At 46.7% G+C, this 21147-nt stretch overlaps 1 protein-coding gene and 2 pseudogenes across 10 annotated transcripts in view; all 3 read right to left on the bottom strand.

Annotated features, from left to right (window-relative positions):
- The window catches only part of PLCD4 (phospholipase C delta 4), a 29277-nt gene extending 9600 nt beyond the window's left edge, over positions 1 to 19677 (bottom strand). For 9 of the 10 annotated variants that reach the window (XM_047446072.1, XM_047446075.1, XM_047446076.1 and 6 more), the window contains exons 1-6: positions 19506 to 19677; positions 11815 to 11869; positions 11514 to 11672; positions 8769 to 8997; positions 5977 to 6106; positions 4698 to 4929 (exon numbers count right to left, since the gene is read on the bottom strand). In XM_047446072.1, the coding sequence (XP_047302028.1) occupies positions 4698 to 4929; positions 5977 to 6106; positions 8769 to 8997; positions 11514 to 11672; positions 11815 to 11836 (772 nt within the window). In that variant the 5' untranslated portion in view covers positions 11837 to 11869; positions 19506 to 19677. Of the gene's footprint in view, positions 1 to 4697; positions 4930 to 5976; positions 6107 to 8768; positions 8998 to 11513; positions 11673 to 11814; positions 11870 to 17627; positions 18386 to 19505 lie in introns of those variants that run through there. The other variant, XM_047446074.1, reaches the window with a different exon arrangement.
- On the bottom strand, positions 1092 to 1167 carry TRQ-CTG16-1 (tRNA-Gln (anticodon CTG) 16-1; annotated as a pseudogene).
- On the bottom strand, positions 7689 to 7775 carry LOC124906133 (uncharacterized; annotated as a pseudogene).
- Positions 19678 to 21147: the final 1470 nt, after the last annotated feature.

Below are 21147 nucleotides of genomic sequence, written 5' to 3'. Positions count from 1 at the left end.
GCGCCACTGCACTCCAGCCTGGGGGACAGAGTGAGACTCCGTCTCAAAAAAAAAAGTTCATTTGAGTCCAGTGCTATCCAATAGAACTTCCTATGATGAGATAAATGTCTTTTTTTTTTTAACTTTTTTTTGGTCTTTTTTTATGCTATAGTACTAAAGAGAAAAACGTTTTATTCTGCAGTGTCATATATAGTAGCCTCTAGCCACATGTGGCTACTGAGCACTTGAAATGTGGCTTGTGTAACTGAAGAACTAAGTTTTAAATTTTATTAGATTTTAGTTAATTTAATTTAATTTATTTATTTATTTATTTTTGAGACAGAGTCTCACTCCGTCTCCCAGGCTGGAGTGCAGTGGCAGGATCTCTGCTCACTGCAAGCTCCGCCTCCTGGTTTCACGCCATTCTCCTGCCTCAGGCTCCCGAGTAGCTGGGACTACAGGCGCCCCCCACTACACCCGGCTCTTTTTTTTTTTCTTTGTATTTTTAGTAGAGACAGGGTTTCACCGTGTTAGCCAGGATGGTCTCCATCTCCTGACCTCGTGATCCGCCTGCCTTGGCCTCCCAAAGTGCAGGGATTACAGGCGTGAGCCACCGTGCCCGACCTAGTTAATTTAATTTTAAATAGCCAAATGGAGCTCACAGTTACTATAATGGACAACATCCAAAGGGCTAATTTTATAGATGAGGAAACTGAGGCCCAGAGAGAATCAAAGTCAAAGGCTTAGTGACATGGCCAAGTTACCTGTATTTTCTTCCTTGGGCTGTGTACCTGTGACTAACTATGGCCTGAGGGTTTCTTCTTACTGTCCATGTTCCCATATGATGTTTTGAGGATCATTTGTCAACATCTCCTTAGACTACACTCCCATTGAGAAAAGGGCCCTGTTAGTCCTTCCATAGCTCCCTCCAATCTCAGTATGGGCTTTATACAACAACAACAACAATGACTAACAGTTATCAAGCACTCACTCTATGCCCAGGGCATTCCACGCAGCATCTCACTCATGTTCTCAGTAACGTGATGAAGTAGATGTAATATAATCTGCCATGAGAGGTTAGGTAACTTGCTCCAGGTCTCATAATCAGTAACTGTAGAAGCTGGGATTTGAACCCAGGCCGCCAGGTGTCAGAGCCATGCCCTGCACCACTGGGCTGTGCAGTCTCACTGAGAATAATGTTGCTACAAGGAGGCTCGCCTGGAAGGTGGAACAACATGACTCTCATGGCCAGCTTCCTTGCTCCAGGTTTCACAAGGCCTGGAGATTGTGAAGAAGGACAGGAAGTTGGGCAGGAAGTTTCCTTTTTTTTTTTTTTTTGGGAGACAGAGTCTCACTCTGTCACCCAGGCTGGATACAGTGGCACAATCACAACTCACTGCAGCCTTGCCCTCCAGGCTCAAGCAATCCTCTCACCTCAGCCTCTCAAGTAGCTGGGACTACAGGAATGTGCCACCAAGCCTGGTTATTTTTTTTATTTTTTTATTTTTAGAGATGGGGTCTCACTGTGTTGCCCAGGCTGGTCTTGAACTCCTGAACTCAAGCAGTCCTCCTGCCTCACCCTCCCATATTATAGGCATGAGCTACCATACCTGGTGGAAGTTTCATTCTTTTTGTTTGTTTGTTGGTTGGTTGGTTTGTTTTTGAGATGGAGTCTCGCTCTGTCACCCAGATTGGAGTGCTGTGGTTCGATTTCCACTCACTGCAACCTCCGCCTCCCGGGTTCAATCGATTCTCCTGCCTCAGGCACCCAAGTAGCTCAAATTACAGGTGCCCGCCACCATACCCAGCTAATTTTTATATTTTTAGTAGAGAAGGGGTTTCACCATGTTGGCCAGGCTGGTCTCGAACTCCTGAACTTAAGTGATCCGCCTGCCTTGGCCTCCCAAAGTGCTGGGATTACAGGCATGAGCCATTGTGCCCGGCCAGAAAGTTTCATTCTTGACAGTAATAAATCACTCAGGTAAATTTGCAGTTGCCAGATACTTTTCATGTGCATTATTTCATTTTATCAATTATTTTACAAATGAGGAAACTGAGTTAGTTAGGTTAAGTGACTTGCTCACAGTTATCAGTTAATAAGAAACACAGTGGAGACCTGAGCCCAGGTTTTTTGACTGATACTACTCTCTGTAGCCAGATAAAGTATCTGATTGTCAAGTTCAAGGGAAGGAAACACCAAGAGGGGTCGGGGTCGAAACAAATGTAACTGATGTTTACTGGATTCTGCACAGGTAACAAAAGATCCTATTTCTTTTTTCTTTCTTTTTTTTTTGTTTGAAACAGAGTCTTGGACTGATGTTTACTGGATCCTGCACAGGTAACAAAAGATCCTATTTCTCTTTTCTTTCTTGCTTTTTTTTTTTGAAACAGAGTCTTGGACTGATGTTTACTGGATTCTGCACAGGTAACAAAAGATCCTATTTCTTTTTTCTTTCTTTCTTTCTTTTTTTTTTTTTTTTTTGAAACAGAGTCTTGGTCTGTCGCCCAGGCTGGAGTGCAGTGGTGCAATCTCAGCTCACTGCTGCAACCTCTGCCTCCCAGGTTCAAGCAATTCTCCTGTCTCAGCCTCCCGAGTAACTGGGATTACAGGCTCCTGCCACCATACCCGGCTAATTTTTTGTGTTTTTAGTGGAGATGGGGTTTCACCACGTAGGCCAGGCTGTTCTCAAACTCCTGACCTCAGGTGATCCTCCTGCCTCGGCCTCCCAAAGTGCTGGGATTCCAAGCATGAGCCACAGCGCCCGGCCTAGAGATTCTATCTCTTAAACTTTTAACTCTCTTCGATTTCATTTTCTGAAATGATTGCTTTACAACCTCCATTCTTTTTTTTCTTTTCTTTTCTTTTTTTTTTTTTTTGAGACAGAGTCTCACCATGTCACCCAGGCTGGAGTGCAGTGGTGTGATCTCGGCTTACTACAGCCTCCACCTCCCGAGTTCAAGCGATTCTTATGCCTCAGCCTCCTTAAGTAGCTGGAATTACAAGCGTGCACCACCATGCCTGGCTAATTTTTATATTTTTAGTAGAGACAGAGTTTTACCATGTTGGCCAGGTTGGTCTCGAACTCCTGGCCTCAGGTTATCTGCCCGGTCTCCCAAAGTGCTGGGATTACAGGCGTGAGCCACTGCACTCAGCCTACAACCTCTACTCTATTCTGAACACCCAAACAAATCTGAAATAACAGATTGTAATGTTTTCTGTTTGACTCTAAGTTTCATGAGGGCAGTGTCCTTGTCTGATCTAGGCACTAATGTATGTCTGGTGCCTAGCATAGGTCCTGACACATTATAGGAACTCAATAAGCATTCATTGAAGTAGTGAATAAATGAATGAATGAAAGGGAGTAAGAGTTTAGACCCAGAATACCTTGATCACTTGTCCAGCTCTCATTCATCCCATCTCTTATCCTCATTCTCAAGAGAGGCACCAACTAAGAGTCAGATGACCTGGGTTTGAATCTCAGTTCCTCTCTCATTAGCTGTTGACTTTGAGCAAGTCATTGAATCTTTCTAAACCTCAGTTTTCCTCTTTTATACAACTGACTTAATAACAGGACCCATTTCAACAGGTCATTGTATTAGAAAAGGTACGTAGATGCCAGGCACAGTGGCTCATGCCTGTAATCCCAGCACTTTGGGAGGTTGAGGCGGGTGGATCACCTGAGGTCGGGAGTTCGAGACCAGCCTGACCAACATGGTGAAACCCCATCCTCTACTAAAAATACAAAATTAGCCGGGCGTGGTGGCGCATGCCTGTAATCCCAGCTACTCGGGAGGCTAAGGCAGGAGAATTGCTTGAACCCGGGAGGCAGAGGTTGTGGTGGGCCGAGATCGTGCCATTGCACTCCAGTCTGGGCAATAAGAGCAAAACTCTGTCTCAAAAAAACAAAAAAATAGAAAAAGGAAAAGGTACATAGAGATATTAGAGCATTATGGGATATGTAGTAAAGGGCCAATAAAGATTACTGTTGATTTGCAAAGTTGTACTGAGGACTAAATGAAATGAGGAACGTGAAAGTTCCTTGTAAAGTATTTATTATTAATGTAAATTTCTCACACTCCGAAGGGAATGGAGGGCAGGAAATGAGTCTACTGAAGAGGCAAGAGGAAGAAACTTTGAAGAACAAGAGCGTATATTTCAGCTGCACTCCTTAAAAGCTAAATAACTGGCCTCCTTATTCCCCCAGCCAGGGGCTAACTGGCTTTCTGGTTCAGGGGCTTAGAGACTCAAGAGAGCCACTTGAATTGAAGACAACTCAGGAAAGGGCAGCGAGCCAGCATTTAAAGGAATAGCAAACAGGAACCATGGAAGAAGAACCAGAGGAAAAGGAATCATTTGCACTAGAGAAGAGGCCAAAGAAAGAGGATCAAGGGTTTTCCGTTTCCAGCGAGGGCAAAGCTGGTATCAGAAAGAACTTCCTGAAAGTAAAGGAAACATGAGCATAATGGAGGAATGAGGAGCCATGGAATCTTCTTCCTCCTGAGAGGTCTAGCACCTCAGAGGAAACCCCTGTCTTGTCTGAACAGGAAATGCCTGCCCTCCTTTGGGAGGAGTGGTTAAATGAGATGATTGGGCAGGGGTCAGGATAGGGATAGACTCAACCTTCTCTCAGGCAGATGGCTGCTTGTCTCTGGACCTTGTAATCATGTCCCTCTCTCCAACCCCTATGTCTGGTGCCTCTCCACCTGATTTCTCTTACCACTGTCTGAAGGTTCATAGCGGTCAATGAGTTCCAGAGCAAGCTCAGAGGTGCAGTCTCTCTCCTTCTGCTCCTCTTGGAGGAAATCCAAAAATTCCAGCAGAGTCAGCTTCTGCCCATCAGCTGAAAAACTTTCAAACAGTTCCTGCACCTCAGCACGTTTAGTCAATGCCTTATAGAACTGTACGAATTCTTCTCCTTCCAGGGTTCCAGACTGGGACGTGTCTGCTGCCTGCAAGAGAGGTTTAGGGGAGAGTGAATGAAACTTTTAATGGGAAATGTTATCTTTTTAATTAAAAAAATTTTTTTTTAAATTTTTCTGGGTACATAGTAGGTGTATATATTTATACAGTAAATTAGATGTTTTGATATAGGCATGCAATGTGAAATAAGCACATCATGGAGAATGGGAAATGTTATGACCTTGACTTGCACTGTAAAAGCAATTTTACAGACAGATAGATCCAAACATGCTTCCATAAAACTCCCACGGAACTCCTAAACATTTAGTGTTCATAGAATAAATCACTTCAGTAAGAAGCAAAATTTTAGCCATACCATTTGCTACTAGAGAAAATTTTCAACTAGAAAGAATTAAATCTCCCAAAGGCCCCTAAAATGTCAGAAGATCCCTCCTCCTATTTACTCACATTCCAGCTGGGGTTTTCCATTGTTCTAGGCACCTGTGAAATTCTGGCCATGGACAGAGAGGTCCTTGAGGTCCAACATAATAACATATTGTTATTTACCTTTCATAGAATCATGACTTTTCTTTTTCTTTTTTTTTTTTTTTTTTTTTGAGACAGAGTCTCGCTCTGTCACCCAGGCTGGAGTGCAGTGGCATGATCTCGGCTCACTGCAAGCACTGCCTCCCGGGTTCACACCATTCTCCTGCCTCAGCCTACCTAGTAGCTGGGACTACAGGCACCCGCAACCACACCCGGCTAATTTTTTGTAGTTTTAGTAGAGACGGGGGTTTCACTGTGTTAACCAGGATGGACCCGATCTCCTGACTTCGTGATCCACCTGCCTCAGCCTCCCAGAGTGCTGGGATTACAGGCATGAGCCACTGCGCCCGGCCGAATTATGACTTTTCAACAAGACTGAAAGGCAAGAATCATCCCCTATACTTCCCATTGAGCCTAGGGCATTGAGCCTAGCACTTAGGGCACATAGCAGAGATTTAACAATTGAGTGTTGTGGACTGGGGTCAGAGGACTTCTGGCCAAATGAAAATGTGGCCTGGTTGGCCGCTGGAAATCCTTCCCCACAGACTCACCTGAAAAAGACTGAAGGCATATTCTTGGTCCATTTCCACATTCATTAGGTGCAATAACCGCTGAACTTCTTGGAAACTCATCTTACCATCCTGATTTTTGTCTCCACGTTGAAACCAATCGCTCAGCCATCCAGGTATGAGTCAAGGCAAAAGCACTAATGTATCTGTTTGTGTGTGCAGTTGTGTGTGCACCTTCGTCCACTGACATCTCTCCCCTCTCTTTCCTGCCAGTCTCTCTCCCCGGTGCCAATCCATTCTCCACACAGCTTCTAGAATAATCTCTCTAGAGCACCAATCTATCTTGTCACTGTATGGCCCAGGCACCTGCAGGGACCTCCCTGTTGCCTGCAGAAAGAAATCTATATTCTGGCCAGACGCGATGGCTCGTGCCTGTAACCCAACACTTTGGAAGGCCAAGGTGGGTGGATCACATGAGGTCAGGAGTTTCGAGACCAGCCTGGCCAACATGGTGAAATCCCATCTCCACTAAAAATACAAAAAAATTATCTGGGTGTGGTAGCACACACCTGTCGTTCCAGCTACTAGGGAGGCTGAGACATGAGAATCACTTGAATCAAGGAGGTGGAGGTTGCATGGAGCCGAGATGGCACCACTGCATTCCAGCCTGGGTGATGGAGTGAGATTCTGTCTCAAAACAAAACAAGTCCATATTCCTTTAGCTTTTTTTTTTTTTTTTTTTTTTTTTGAGACAGAGTCTCGCTCCGTCACCCAGGCTGGAGTGCACTAGGGAAATCTTGGCTCACTGCAACTGCCATCTCCTGGGTCCAAGAGATTCTCCTGCCTCAGCCTCCTGAGTAGCTGAGATTACAGGCGCCCACCACCACACCTGGCTGTTTTTTGTTTGTTCATTTGTATGTTTGTTTTAGACAGAGTCTCGCTCTGTTGCCCAGGCTGAAGTGAAGTGGTGCAATCATGGCTCACTACAGCCTCAACCTCCCAGACCAAAGTGATCCTCCCACCTCAGCCTCTCAAGTAGCTGGGACTACAGGTGTGCACCACCACACCTGGCTACTTTATTTATTTATTATAAATAAATAAATAAAAATTCTTTTATAATTAAAGAAAAAAAATTTTTTTGGAGACAGAGTCTAACTCTGTCGACCAGGCTAGAGTGCAGTGGCACCATCTCGGCTCCCTGCAACCTTTTCCGGTTCAAGTGATTCTCGTGCCTCAGCCTCCTGAGTAGCTGGGATTGCAGATACATGTCGCCACGCCCAGCTAATTTTTTTGTATTTTTTGTAGAGGTGGGGTTTCACCATGTTGGCCAGGCTGATGTCGAACTCCTGGCCTCAGGTGATCCACCAGCCTCAGCTTCTCAAAGTGCTGGGATTAATTACAGGTGTGAGCTACTGCACCTGGCCACACCTGGCTAATTTAATTTTTTAAAGTTTACTTTATGAGCCAGGTGCAGTGGCTCACACCTCTAATCCCAGCACTTTTGGAGGCTGAGGTGGATGGACCACTTGAGCCCAGGAGTTAGAGACTAGCCTGAGCAATGTGGCAAAATCCCATCTCTACAAAACAAAACAAAAAATTAGCCAGGTGCGGTGGCACATGCCTGTAATCCCAGCTGCTCGGGAAGCTGAGGTGGGAGGATTGCTTGAGCCCAGGCTGTCACGGCTGCAGTGAGCCAAGATCGTGCCACTGCACTCCAGCTTGGGTGACAGAGTGAGACCCTGTCTCAAATAAAAAATAAAATGTATTTTATGGTGCTCTACACATTCAGAGAAACTTCTCTAGTAATGAACTATAGAAATTATCCCTGAAAGTGTAGTCTTTCAGTTAACTTCTTAATTTTTTGTAGAGACGCAGTCTTCCCTGTGTTGCCTAGGTTAGGCAACATAGTGATCTGCCTGCCTCAAGTGATCTCCCTGCCTTGGCCTCCCAAAGTGCTGGGATTACAGGCCAAACAAAAAATTATTTACACAGTTCCATCCTCTTCACTAACTGAAGCAATATGTGAGTCTCATTAATCTTTGTACCACTGGCCGGGTGTGGTGGCTCATGCCTGTAATCCCAGCACTTTGGGAGGCTGAGGTGGGTGGATCACGAGGTCCAGAGTTCGAGACCAGCCTGGCCAAGATGGTGAAACCCCGTCTCTTCAAAAAAATACAAAAATTAGCTGGGCGTGGTGGCATGCACCTGTAGTCCCAGCTACTCAGGAGGCTGAGGCAGGAGAATCGCTGGAACCTGGGAGGCAGAGGTTGCAGTGAGCTGAGATTGTGCTACTGCACTCCAGCCTGGGTGACAGAGCAAGACTCCGTATCAAAAACAAAACAAAACAAAACATATATATATATATATATATATATGTACCCCTATAGTCTGGCATAGTGCCTGATACATTCTGCTTAATAGATCATGAATGAATGAATAAATGAATGAAATGGTAAACAATCCAGGAAACTTGGAGTGAGTTTATATCACTGAGCCTTCTAAGAGGTTGCTTCCCACCTACATGCTGGTTAATGCCACTGGGATCTTCTGTGCAGCTCTTAGGAGCAGCATCTTGTTTGCTCCTCTGCCTGTCACTGCCTCTTCCTCCAATCCTGGGGGTCCTGATTCCTGCCTGGCTATGTGATCCTTGGCATCCATTCCTCCCTCAGTATTCTCAGTCTCACATTGGCCTGAGCTGTCCCTGCCCATACCATCTGGACCCTTGGGCCTCCCTAGCCCTGCACCCCTTCTCACCTTTCCTAAACCTGTTGCATCTGGCTCCTTCAGGGATAGCGTGATCCCTCACCCCCACCCTGACTCCATCCTGCCGATACTGGTCCAGGCGCTCCTGATGGTCCATGCTGGTGACAAGATCCACCAACAGCTGGAGCCCTCGCATCCATATCTGGGCCTCCTCAACACTGTTGGCCATCAGGTCCAGGTTGGAGCGGCGGCCATGGAAGACAATGGTGAAGCCCTGCTCCAGGGGGAGCTCCTCTGCCAGGCTACGCAGCAACTCGGAATCATGGCCATTACGTATTGTCTCCACATCAGAGATTGAGACTGCCAGAGAAGAAACAGGTGGAGGCATTAAGGAAGGGATTCCAACAAATAGCAGGGGCTAAGAGTGAAGGACCAGCACCCCCTTCTCCATGACACCATAGAAAAGAACCCCAGCCTCTGCAGGCTGAATCCCAAAAAGCATTAGTACAGAGAGATGCAGACCCCAGGGATTCAGGAGTCCACATGAATCACTGATGTTTTCAAAGGCAGCATGGCAAAGGGCCTGTACTGGAAGTGGCAAGACATGGCTTCCAGCCACAAGCTGGCAGTATGACACAAACCAAAATGACTTAACTCCTCAGTATCCTCATCTGATACAATGGATAGTCCCCTTCCATAGGCAGCCCCAATGGTGATCACAGGAGGACTGATGGGGATGACAAATGGACATACATTTGAAAGGCAGAAGCAGTTATACTAAAGCATTATATGCCCAAGTCCAGTTCTCTCATTCCAGGTTTGTTTGTTTGTTTGTTTGTTTGTTTGTTTTTTGACATGGAGTCTCGCTCTGTTGCCCAGGCTGGAGTGCAGTGGCGCGATCTCGGCTCACTGCAAGCTCCACCTCCCAGGTTCACGCCATTCTCCTGCCTCAGCCTCCTGAGTAGCTGGGACTACAGGTGCCCACCACCATGCCCGGCTAATTTTCTGTATTTTTTTAGTAGGGATGGGGTTTCACTGTGTTAGCCAGATGGTCTCAATCTCCTGACCTCGTGATCCACCCGCCTAGGCCTCCCAAAGTGCTGGGATTACAGGCGTGAGCCACCACGCCTGGCCCCCATTCCAGGTTTGAGGGCTTCCTCTTTCCAGATGTCTACGAGGGAACCAGAGAAATTCTTTCACCCTCTTACCTCAGCTGGGGGCGGTATGGATTGTGAGCAATTTGTCTGTAAAACAGACTCTCTTAGATGTGTCCTGTGATCAAATTATGTCTTGTTATCATAAAGAGTTTGGCCAATAAGTGCACACTGTTATGATTTTTTTTTTGTTTTATTTTGTTTTTTGAGACCAAGTTTTGCTCTTGTCACCCAGGCTGGAGTGCAATGGCACAATCTCAGCTCACTGTAACCTCTGCCTTCCAGGTTCAAGCGATTCTCCTGCCTCAGCCTTCCGAGTAGCTGGGACTACAGGTGCGCGCCACCAAGCCCGGCTAATTTTTGTATTTCTAGTAGAGATGGGGTTTCACCATGTTGGCCAGGCTGGTCTCAAACTCCTGATCTCAAGTGATCTGCCTGCCTCGGCCTCCCAAAGTGCTGGGATTACAGGCATGATCCACCACACCCAGCCGCATTTTTTGTATTTAAAAATATTTATTATAGGCCGGGTGCAGTGGCTCACGCCTGTAATCCCAGCACTTTGGGAGGCCGAGGCAGGCGGATCACGGGGTCAGGAGATGGAGACCATCCTGGCCAACACAGTGAAACCCCGCCTCTACTAAAAATGCGAAAAATTAGCCGGGCGTGGTGGCGGGTGCCTGTAGTCCCAGCCACTCAGAAGGCTGAGGCAAGAGAATGGCGTGAACCCGGAAGGCGGAGCTTGCAGTGAGCTGAGATCACGCCACTGCACTCCAGCCTGGGCAACAGAGCGAGACTCCATCTCTCTCTCTCTCTCTCTCTCTCTCTCTCTCTCTCTCTCTCTCTCTCTCTCTCTCTCTATATATATATATATATATATATATATATAAAATAATGGCTAACATTCATTAAATGCATTCTGGTTTTACATCCCATGCTAAGTGTTTTACATGTTAACTCATTGAGTCCTTGTAGCCTACTAAGCAGGTACTGTTTAATCCCTGTTTTACAGATGAGGAAACTGAAGCTTGATGTATGTATGTATGTATGTATGTATGTATATATGTATTTTTGTAGAGACAGGGTCTCACTCACCCAGGCGGAGTGCAGTGGTGTGATCACAGCTCACTGCAGTCTCAACTTCCTGGACTCAAGTGATCCTCCCATCTTAGCCTCCCAAATAGCTGAGACCACAGGCGTACAGCACCACACCCAGCTAATTTTTTATTTTTATTTTTTATAGAGACAGGATCTCCCTATGTTGTCCAGGCTGGTCTTGAACTTCTGGTCTCAAGAAATTCTCCTGCCTCAACCTCCCAAATTGCTGGGATTACAGGCATTGAGCCACCATGCCCAGCCATAGCTTAACTACTTGATTTTCCACAGCTACTCAGTTAGAAAGTGGCAGAGCCAGGGCTTTAATTCAGGCAGGCTGATGCCCAAGATCATGGTCTTATTATAATAACAACAAGATGTAACCAATGATTTATTACATCTTACTATGTTCCAGGACTCTTCTAAGCCTTTTATATACAATAACTAATTTAATCCTCATAACAGCCTTATGAGGCAAGTACTGTTATGATCTCCTTTTACAGGCTCAGATATAGCCACAATTAGGACAGCACAAACACACACTATCGTAGGACTTTGGTCCCTCCCCTGCCGGGCTCCTCAGGCCTCTATCCACCCATGTATCCACCCCCCACTATCCAGGTCACTCACAGCTGGGCTTGGCACTGCCCCTGGCCTGCCGTGCATGCCAGACTGTCATGCCGTCATTCTGAAGTCTGAAGTATCTTAGCTTCTTCCAGCTTTTGGACCTCACCTTGCGCATCGGCATGCCTTCCTGCATCAGCAGCAAGTCCTGATCAGTGGTCAGCTCTAGGTCAGGAAAAGCAGGGGTTAGGTAGCCAGCAGAGAGGGTAGCAGGCCCAGGGAGAGCTCTGGAACAGGGGTCCAACCTCCTTCCCTTCCCTGAGCTGTACACTAAGGCCTCTTCCCCTGCAGGGGCCCCGGCACTCACGGTCTTGCAGCAGGGACGCCATCACCCACTGTTCCACCAGCTGGCACCAGATCACCTAAAGGAGCAAGGAAGAGCAAAGGGCTCTGGGTGAATCTTGAAGATAGTCTGTAGCTGATTTTTGCTTCTAATTTTGAGTTTAGTGACTCTGACACTTTAGATAGGTTTAGAAACCTGCCTCAAATCACATAAGGATCAGAATTTAAACCAAGATATGTCTGATCCCAGAGCCTCTGCTATTTCCCATGGCTATCTTCAGAGAAGGGTAAACCAAAGATTCCGCCCAGCACCCCCTTCCTACCCAATAACCCACAGTCTACTAGTGCCACATTTTGCTCACTCCCCACCCTCTCATTATTAGGAACTAACATCTTGCTGGATGTCCCTTTCAGAAACTAGAATCTCTTCACACCCTAGCCTTCTCATTTCCAGGTGGAATCCTTTCAGCTTCCCTATTCTGGGAGTCCTCTCTATCTATGCTCCCACATAGACTGTCCAGCTCCTGAGGGGCTAGTGCAGACTTTCTTTTTCTTTTTCTTTTTTTTGATACGGAGTGTCGCTCTGTCACCCAGGCTGGAGTGCAGTGGTGCAATCTCAGCTCACTGCAACTCCCAGTTCAAGCGATTCTCCTGCCTCGGCCTCCCGAGTAGCTGGGACTACAGGCATGTGCCACCACACCCGGCTAATTTTTTGTATTTTTAGTACAGACAGGTTTTCACTGTGTTAGCCAGGATGGTCTCAATCTCCTGACCTCGTGATCCGCCCACCTCGGCCTCCCAAAGTGCTGGGATTACAGGCGTGAGCCACTGCACCCGGCCAGACTTTCTTTTTTCTCTTTAACAATACTTAGTTGTCTTCTTCTACCTTCACATGGTAAAGCATATTTTATACCTTTCCTTTATAGTTATTCTCACAGTTTTAATGGACCAAATAAGTTACACAAGTCTCAGAACTACATTTTCAAATTTTCTCTACCTACCAAAAAAGGGTACCTCTTTTAAGATATAGGCTGTTGGCTGGGTGCGGTGGCTCACGCCTGTAATCCCAGCAATTTGGGAGGCCGAGGCTGGCGGATCACCAGAGGTCAGGAGTTTGAGACCTGCCTGGCCAACATGGCAAAACCCCGTCTCACTAGTAATACAAAAAAATTAGCTGGGCATGGTGGCAAGCACCTGTAATCCCAGCTACTTGGGAGGCTGAGGCAGGAGAATCGCTTGAACCTGGGTGGCAGAGGTTGGCAGTGAGCCAAGATTGTGCCATGCACTCCAGCCTGGGCGACACAGCGAGACTCTGTCTCAATAAAAAGAGGAAAAAGGCTGGGCACGGTGGCTCACACCTGTAATCCCAGCACTTTGGGAGGCCGAGGTGGGTGGATCACGAGGTCAGGAGATTGAGACCATCCTGGCTAACACAGTGAAACCCTGTCTCTACTAAAAAAATACAAAAGGCTGGGCGCGGTGGCTCAAGCCTGTAATCCCAGCACTTTGGGAGGCCAAGGCGGGCGGACCATGAAGTCAGAAGTTCAAGACCAGCCTGGCCAACATAGTGAAACCCCGTCTCTACTAAAAATACAAAAAATTAGCCGGGTGTGGTTGTGTGCACCTGTAATCCCAGCTACTCAGGAGGCTGAGGCAGGAGAGTCGTGTGAACCTGGGAGGCAGAGGTTGCAGTGGGCCGAGATTACGCCATTGCACTCCAGCCTGGGCAACAGAGCGAGAGCAAGACTCCATCTCAAAAAAAAAAAAAGAAGAAGAAGAAGAAAAGATATATGCTGTGAAATATAGGACCTGGTTAAGTTGTCCTAGTAGCTGACAACAAACTTCCCTTGAAAAGGACTAGAAAATTTGATATGTGGCCACACTGATTCTAGCTATGCCCCTATAGAAATACTCAATTCTTGGCTGGGCACAGTGGCTCATGCTGTAATGCCAGCACTTTGAGAGGTTGAAGAGGGAGGATTGCTTGGGCCCAGGAGTTCGAGACCAGTGTGAGCAACATATTGAGACCTCCATCTCTACAAAGAATTTTTTTAAATTAGCCGAGTGTGGTAGTGTACACTTGTGGTCCCAGCTACTTGGGAGGCTGAGGTGGGAAGCTCACTTGAGCCCAGGAGGTTGAGGCTGCAGTAAGCTGAGATTACACCACTGAGCTCCAGCCTGGGTGACAGAGCAAGACTGTCTCAAAAAGCAAAAACAAAAAAACATTCTTGACCAGGTCGTGCTGAAACAGACAAATCTCATAAAACATAAAGCTCTATGCTTTTGTGTAAGCAAAGAACCTACATTTGAATAGAAGTATATTGTGAGTTTCTTTTTTTTAAAGGGTATCTCTACCTGAAAAATGTTATGTGCTTTTTTTTTTTTTTTTTTTTTGGAGACAGACTTTTGCTCTTATTACCCAGGCTGGAGTGCAATGGCACAATCTCGGCTCACTACAACCTCTACCTCCCGGGTTCAAGCGACTGTCCTGCCTCAGCCTCCTAAGTAGCTGGGATTACAGGCACCCATCACCACACCCAGCTAATTTTTGTATTTTTAATAGAGACAGGGTTTCACTATGTTGGCCAGGCTGGTCTCAAACACCTGACCTCAGGTGATCCACCCGCCTCGACCTCCCAAAGTGCCGGGATTACAGGCATGAGCCACCTCACCCAGCCATGTTCCTTAATTTAAAAGTTTAAAATTTTGACAGTGGTGCACATCTTAAAAGAACTTTAAAAATTTGTAGAGCAATCATTCAGTTAGTGTTCCATTAAAACATCATGCAGTTAGTTCAACTCCCTATATTTTACAGATGAAAAAGCAGAAGTCTAGAAATGTGATGCGACTTGCCTCAGGTCACACAGCCTATTAGTGCCCTACGTCTCTTTTGTGGGAAGACCCTATAAAGTCACCTAGTAGTGACTAAGCCTTCAGGGAGAATGTGGGGGGGTCACTGAAAATACAGCTTCCCTGAATACAAGACCTTGAGAAGACTTTCTTTTTTTTTGTTTTTGAGATGGAGTCTTGCTCTGTCGCCAGGCTGGAGTGCAATGGCACCATCTCAGCTCACTGCAACCTCTGCCTCCAAGGTTCAAGCAATTCTCCTGCCTCAGCCTCCTGAGTAGCTGGGATTACAGCTGTGAGCCACCACGCCTGGCTAATTTTTGTATTTTGAGTAGAGACGGAGTTTTGCCGTGTTGGCCAGGCTGGTCTCCAACTCCTGATCTCAGGTGATCCGCCCACCTTGGCCTCTCCAAGTGCTGTTACAGGCGTGAGCCACTCTGCCCCGCCTAGAGAAGCCTCTCTAAATGGGTAGTAATGTATAGGTATCCAGAGTGAGAGGGGAAGGTTGAGAAGAAGTCTGTCAGGAAACAATTTCAGGAAGAAAAGATTTTGCTGGCTTATGCTGAATGTGTGTGCCTGAAGGAGACCAGAAGAAACCTCTGGTTGGACGAAGGGACCCAAAGTGTTTCCTGAGAGCCAGAAAATCATCTCTGCTTTTCTGAGTGGGGATGCAGTTTGGAATCTGAGGCTTACAGAAGCTATGTGAAGACTGAAGTAGAAAGTAACAGACCTGGCCGAAGGCGGTGGCTCATGCCTGTAATCCCAGCACTTTGGGAGGCCGAGGCGGGTGGATCACAAAGTCAAGAGATCGAGACCATCCTGGACAACATGGTGAAACCCTGTCTCTACTAAAAATACAAAAATTAGCTGGGCATGGTGGCTACTAGGGAGGCTGAGGCAGGAGAATCGCTTGAACCCAGGAGGCAGAGGTTGCAATGAGCCAAGATCGCACCACTGCACTCTAACCTGGCGACAGAGCTAGACTCCATCTCAAAAAAAAGAAAAGAAAAGAAAAGAAAGCAACAGACCTCTCTTAGGTCTAGCAGGGTGTGGTGGCTCACGCCTGTAATCCCAGCACTTTGGGAGGCTGAGGCAGGTGGATCACTTGAGGTCAGGAGTTTGAGACAAGCCTCGCCAACATAGTGAAACCCCGTCTCTATTAAAAATACGAAAAGTAGCCGGCTGTGGTGGTGCACACCTGTAATCCCAGCTACTCGTGAGGCTGAGGCAGGAGAATCACTTGAAACCAGGAGGCAGAGGTTGCAGTGAGCCGAGATTGCACCATTACACTCCAGCCTGGGTGACGGAGTGAGACTCTCTCAAAAACAACAACAAAAATTTCTTAGGTCCTCAGACTCTAGGAGAGTGAATTGGCCTGGGGCTGAAGTCTAACCTCTTCTGCCAACATCCTGGCTTATCTCCTATCTGAATTTTAGCTCCCACCTCTGGGACACAGGGACTCTAGGATGTGGTGAACTTTAGGACTGCAAGAAGATTGCATTACCTTCCCTTACGCCTGTGTCCAGGAGCCTCACAATGATGTCCTGAAACATGGGAAGCCTGAGAACCGAGCCCAAGTGCCTGAACACCCTTACTTTGGAGACTCCCTCCTCTCAAACCTGCCTTAGAAAATTATTTTTTCCTCCTTTGTCCAATTCTTCTAACCCCAAAGCTTGGCTTTGTTCTTCCAATCCTTCTCCCATTCATGAATCACTATTTTAAATCTGTATTCACATGACTGACATGTGGTCATAAGAGGGCCAGTTTCAAATCAGGGAGCCATAGAAGGTCAGAGCTGGACTTCATTTTATAGAAAAGGAGCCCGAGGACTAGAAAGGTTAGGTGAAGTAAAAAGAATTAGTGCCAGAGTCATTTAATGAGTGACAGAACTGGAATTAGAACCAAGGTCTCTGGCCGGGCACGGTAGCTCACATCTGTAATCCCAGCACTTTGGGGGGCTGAGATGGGCAGATCATGTAAGGCCAGGAGTTCGAGACCAGCCTGACCGACATGGTGAAACCCCTTCTCTACTAAAAATACAAAAATTAGCTGGGAGTAGTGGTGCACACCTATAATCTCCGCTACTTGGGAGGCTGAGGCAGGAGAATTGCTTGAACCCAGGAGGCGGAGGCTGCAGTGAGCCGAGATGGCGCCATTGCACTGCAGCCTGGGCAACAAAAGCAAAACTCTGTCTTGGGCAGGAGGAAAAAAAAAAGAACCCAGGTCTCCATACAACCAGCTCAAGGATCTCACAATGACTCTGCTCTTGGAAAGGGCCTTCTCTAGAAAACAGTTGAAGCAAGGCTAGGAATCAATAAGGGACATTGGTATTTTGTCTCTCCTCTCCATCACTTTCTGTTCCCTCTGTACTCTGAATAGTCTTGCTTTTCTTTGGTCTCATTTTCTTTATTTCTATTTATTTATTTTTTTTTGAGACGGAGTGTCACTCTGTCGCCCAGGCTGGAGTGCAGTGGCATGATGTTGGCTCACTGCAACCTCCGCCTCCTGGGTTCAAGTGATTCTCCTGCCTCAGCCTCCCAAGTAGCTGGGATTACAGGTGTGTGCCACCACGCCTGGCTAATTTTTTTTATTTTTAGTAGAGACGGGGTTTCACTATGTTGGCCAGGCTGGTCTCAAACTCCTGACCTCAGATGATCCACCCGCCTCAGCCTCCCTAAGTGCTGGGGTTACAGGGGTGAGCCACCATGCCCAGCCTCTTTCATCTCATTTTCTTTCCTTTCCCTATCCCATGCCTGACCTGGTCCTTTTCCTTTCTTCCCAGTTCACTATAAAAAAAATTTTTTTTAAATTATTATTTGTTTTGTATGGAGATGGGGTCTCCCTGTGTAGCCCTAGTTTTAAACTCCTGGCCTCAAGCAATCCTCCTGCCTGGGCTTCCCAAAGTGCTGGGATTACAGGCGTGAGCCATCATGCCCAGCCCCATCCCCACCTCTCTCTCTCTCTTAATCCTCTGTCTTCCTGTTTGCTCACCTAGGTCAGTCTCTCCTCTTCTCTTCCTTCTCCTCATCCCTTCTCCCCATCACCTCTTCCAGTTGGTTCCCTCTTTTGACTCCACTAATTCGCAATGGCTCTGAGTCTCATCTCCTTTGAGAATTTTGAGACTGTGGTCCAGAAGGGAGGACACTTGGGTTCAGAACTCAGTAGCATGCGTGTCCCTCTGCTCAGCCTCACTTTTCTCTGTATCCTAGGAGATTGACCAAACAAACTGCCCAGACAATGTGAGTTAGAACCTAGGTATTCTAGGTCTTGCTGTTTCCTCTGGTGTCTAATGGTAGAATGGGAAGGATGCCCACAGCTGATGCAGGTGCAATGAGAAGAGAAGGAACAAAGGGTTTGGGAGTGAGGGCACTGGGAAAAACACAGAGGATGACATCTGATAATAAGAAAGGTTGGTCTTAAATATTAACTCATAGACACATATATGGAGATCTTCAATGATATGGTAATTACCTCTCTAATACAGATACGAAAATAGGGACACAAAATGAGATGGGAAGTAGCCCAGAGCTGCAGAGCGCAATTTGGTCCTCAATTTCTAAGAGACTTCATGTCACCTAGAGATGGACTTTGGCAGAGTTACCAATGGCACCAAGGAGATTACAGTGGGATTCAGGGTGTCTCAGGTCTCTCTGAGGGGCAAGAAAGAAGAGAATCATTTTGTCTACTCCCTTGCTTCTGAGAAGGATTATGCCTAACCTGGTTCATATAGAGGACAAATTGGCTCTGGTCACAGGTCACAGAATGTTGGAGCTTGAAGGTTCTTTTTTTTTTTTTTTTTGAGACAGAGTCTCGCTGTCGCCCAGGCTGGAGTGCAGTGGTGCGATCTTGGCTCACTGCAGGCTCCGCCCCCCGGGGTTCACGCTATTCTCCTGCCTCAGCCTCCCGAGTAGCTGGGACTACAGGCACCCGCCACCCACCTCGCCCGGCTAATTTTTTGTATTTTCAGTAGAGACGGGGTTTCACCATGTTAGCCAGGATGGTCTCAATCTCCTGACCTCGTGATCCACCCGCCTCGGCCTCCCAAAGTGCTGGGATTACAGGTGTGAGCCACCGCGCCCGGCCAGTTCTTTTATAACACATCTAATCCAGACATTCCCAGCTACATCAATAGCCTCTGGAATGTCTTGAAATTGAGATCCTTAGCCCTACCCAAAAATCTACCAGATCAGAGTTACCCAGGGTGGGGCTCAATAATATATTTATTTTTAACAAGTACACTTGGTACACAGGCAAGTCTGGGAAACCCTAAACTCTCTCGTATCACAGATCTGGAAGTTGTGGCTCCAGGTCCCGTAGCTAGTTAATGGCACAGGCAGAACTAGAAGTAGGTTTTCTTACCAACGTAGCACTCTGGTGCACTAAGAAACTGCTCTGGCCCATGGAATAGGCAAAGAACAAGTTCTTTAGAGAACTTTCTAAGGGACTTTCATAACTCTCTCTATTACCAGGGATCTCTGATTCCCCATGGTTCTTGGCCAACCCCTATTTTGCAACCCTCAACAAACTGTTAATGAATCTATGCTAAAGCTTAGCTACTCCAATTTTTTCTTCCCTTATTGGGGGTGGAGTTCACCTCAGGAGTGGCTAGGGTTGGCACTTCTGGCCCTGCATAAGCTAAGAGGTACCTCATATAAAGGGCGACTGACACAGCCAGGAGGAAAGCTGTAAGGATAAAGGAGGATAAGCTAGAGAGAACCAGGAGGTGGGAGCCCTGTAGAGCTGTTGGGATGAGGAAAGGAGTCTAGGGTACAATTTAATCAGGGTGGATAAGCATCTAGAGGGCAGAGGTAGGGACTCAGGGAAGACAGAGCTTAGAGCAGAGGGTAGTCAGAGCTTCCAGATCCTTACCGTGGGCAGGAGAGCAGAATAGCAGTCCTGTGTTTCCTGTGTCTGTGAGCTGTGCCTCCCGAGCTCTGCGATGCTGTGGGATCAGGAAGCCCAGCCTGGCTCCTTTTCTCTTTTGCTCCCCTTGCACTGGCTTGTTTCCTCCCCTCTTCTACAGCAGCTGGCTGCTGTGACTGGCAAGTTATAGCCGGAGGGAAGCAGTAAGAAGGGGAGAGGTGTGAGCTCTCTCCAGTCCAGCCCATCCAACTCTTAAAGGCCCAGGACACTGGTCAATGTGAGGGAGTAGTGGGGGTGGGGTGGGGAGAGAAGGATTAAGGGCAGCACATCTCCAGGGAGGAGCCTGGCTGCCCTTCATCTTGATGCCAGCCCTCATTGACCCCAATCCCGCAGTAGCTCTCAAAGTGAAGGGAGTGTCCTCAGTTGCAGTGCTCTGTGAATCACTGCTTTTCATTCTGGTTCCTGCATGTAATACGGCTGTTTTTGCCCTTATTTAATCTGGCTCCTTTCCATAGTGTCTGTTTCCACTGGCCTGCTCCTGTATCTCTGAATCCTGCCTGCAGGGCACTCACTGTAGCTCCGTCCCACAGGAAAAGAAAGAAATAAGATGGGAAAAGAGGAAGACGAGGAGAAGGGGAGGACAGGAATGATGATAGAATGTAGAGGGACAGATAGGTTAGAATCTATGTATATTTTAGGCACTCATTAAATATTGAAAGAATGCATAGATGAACGTGTGAAACAGCTCATTTTTTTTTAAACATCCATTCGTTCCTCCTACAAGCATCTGTTCAGCACCTCTGGGTTATAAGTCATAGCCCTCAGAATGGAGGTAGCACCTTCAGGACATACATGCATGTTTATAAAGATGTGTGCAGAGATGAAGCATAGGCTCAGAGGGGAACTGTGTGAAATGGTGTAATTTTAAGTGTGCTGACGTCTGGCTGCCTATCATGGTTTCCACAAGCATCCCTCAACTGCCTAATATTTTACCATTAGTGATTATAGCTACATTTTTTAGTCCCATTAAAATAAAATCCTCCTAAGTGATTACTATAAAAGTCAGGATAGTGGTTACTGTTGGGAGGGGGAGGAATTGTGGTGAGATGGGACACAGAGGGGGCTTCTGGCATAGCTAGCTAAACTCTATTTCTAGTTCTAAGTGCTAACAAGGGTCTTCACTTAATAATTTATTAAGCTATACATTCTCTTGATATATTTTCTATATGTGTTTTTAAATTTATTTTTTTAGGTCTCATTTAAAATATCATATATCTGTGTTAACTTTTGAAGGCTTAATGATTTTAAATATACATATATGTATATGTATATGTGTGTGTGTGTATATATATATATATATATATTTTTTTTTTTTTTTTTTTTTTTTTTTGAGATAAGAGTCTCGCTGTTGCCCAGGCTGGAGTGCAATGGCGTGATCTTGGCTTACTGCAACCTCTACCTCCCGGGTTCAAGCAATTCTCCTGTCTCAGCCTCCTGAGTAGCTGGGATTACAGGTGCATGCCACCACCCCCAGCTACTTTTTTTTGTATTTTAGTAGAGACGGGGTTTCACCGTGTTGCCCAGGCTGGTCTTGAGCTCCTGAGCTCAGGCAATCCACCTGCCTTGGCCTCCCAAAGTGCTAGGATTA

Source organism: Homo sapiens, chromosome 2 (assembly GCF_000001405.40).
Source record: "Homo sapiens chromosome 2, GRCh38.p14 Primary Assembly".
NCBI classification, from domain to species: domain Eukaryota; kingdom Metazoa; phylum Chordata; class Mammalia; order Primates; family Hominidae; genus Homo; species Homo sapiens.
The sequence above is the reverse complement of the archived record's forward strand: the minus strand, read 5'-3'. Positions and strand labels throughout refer to the sequence as shown.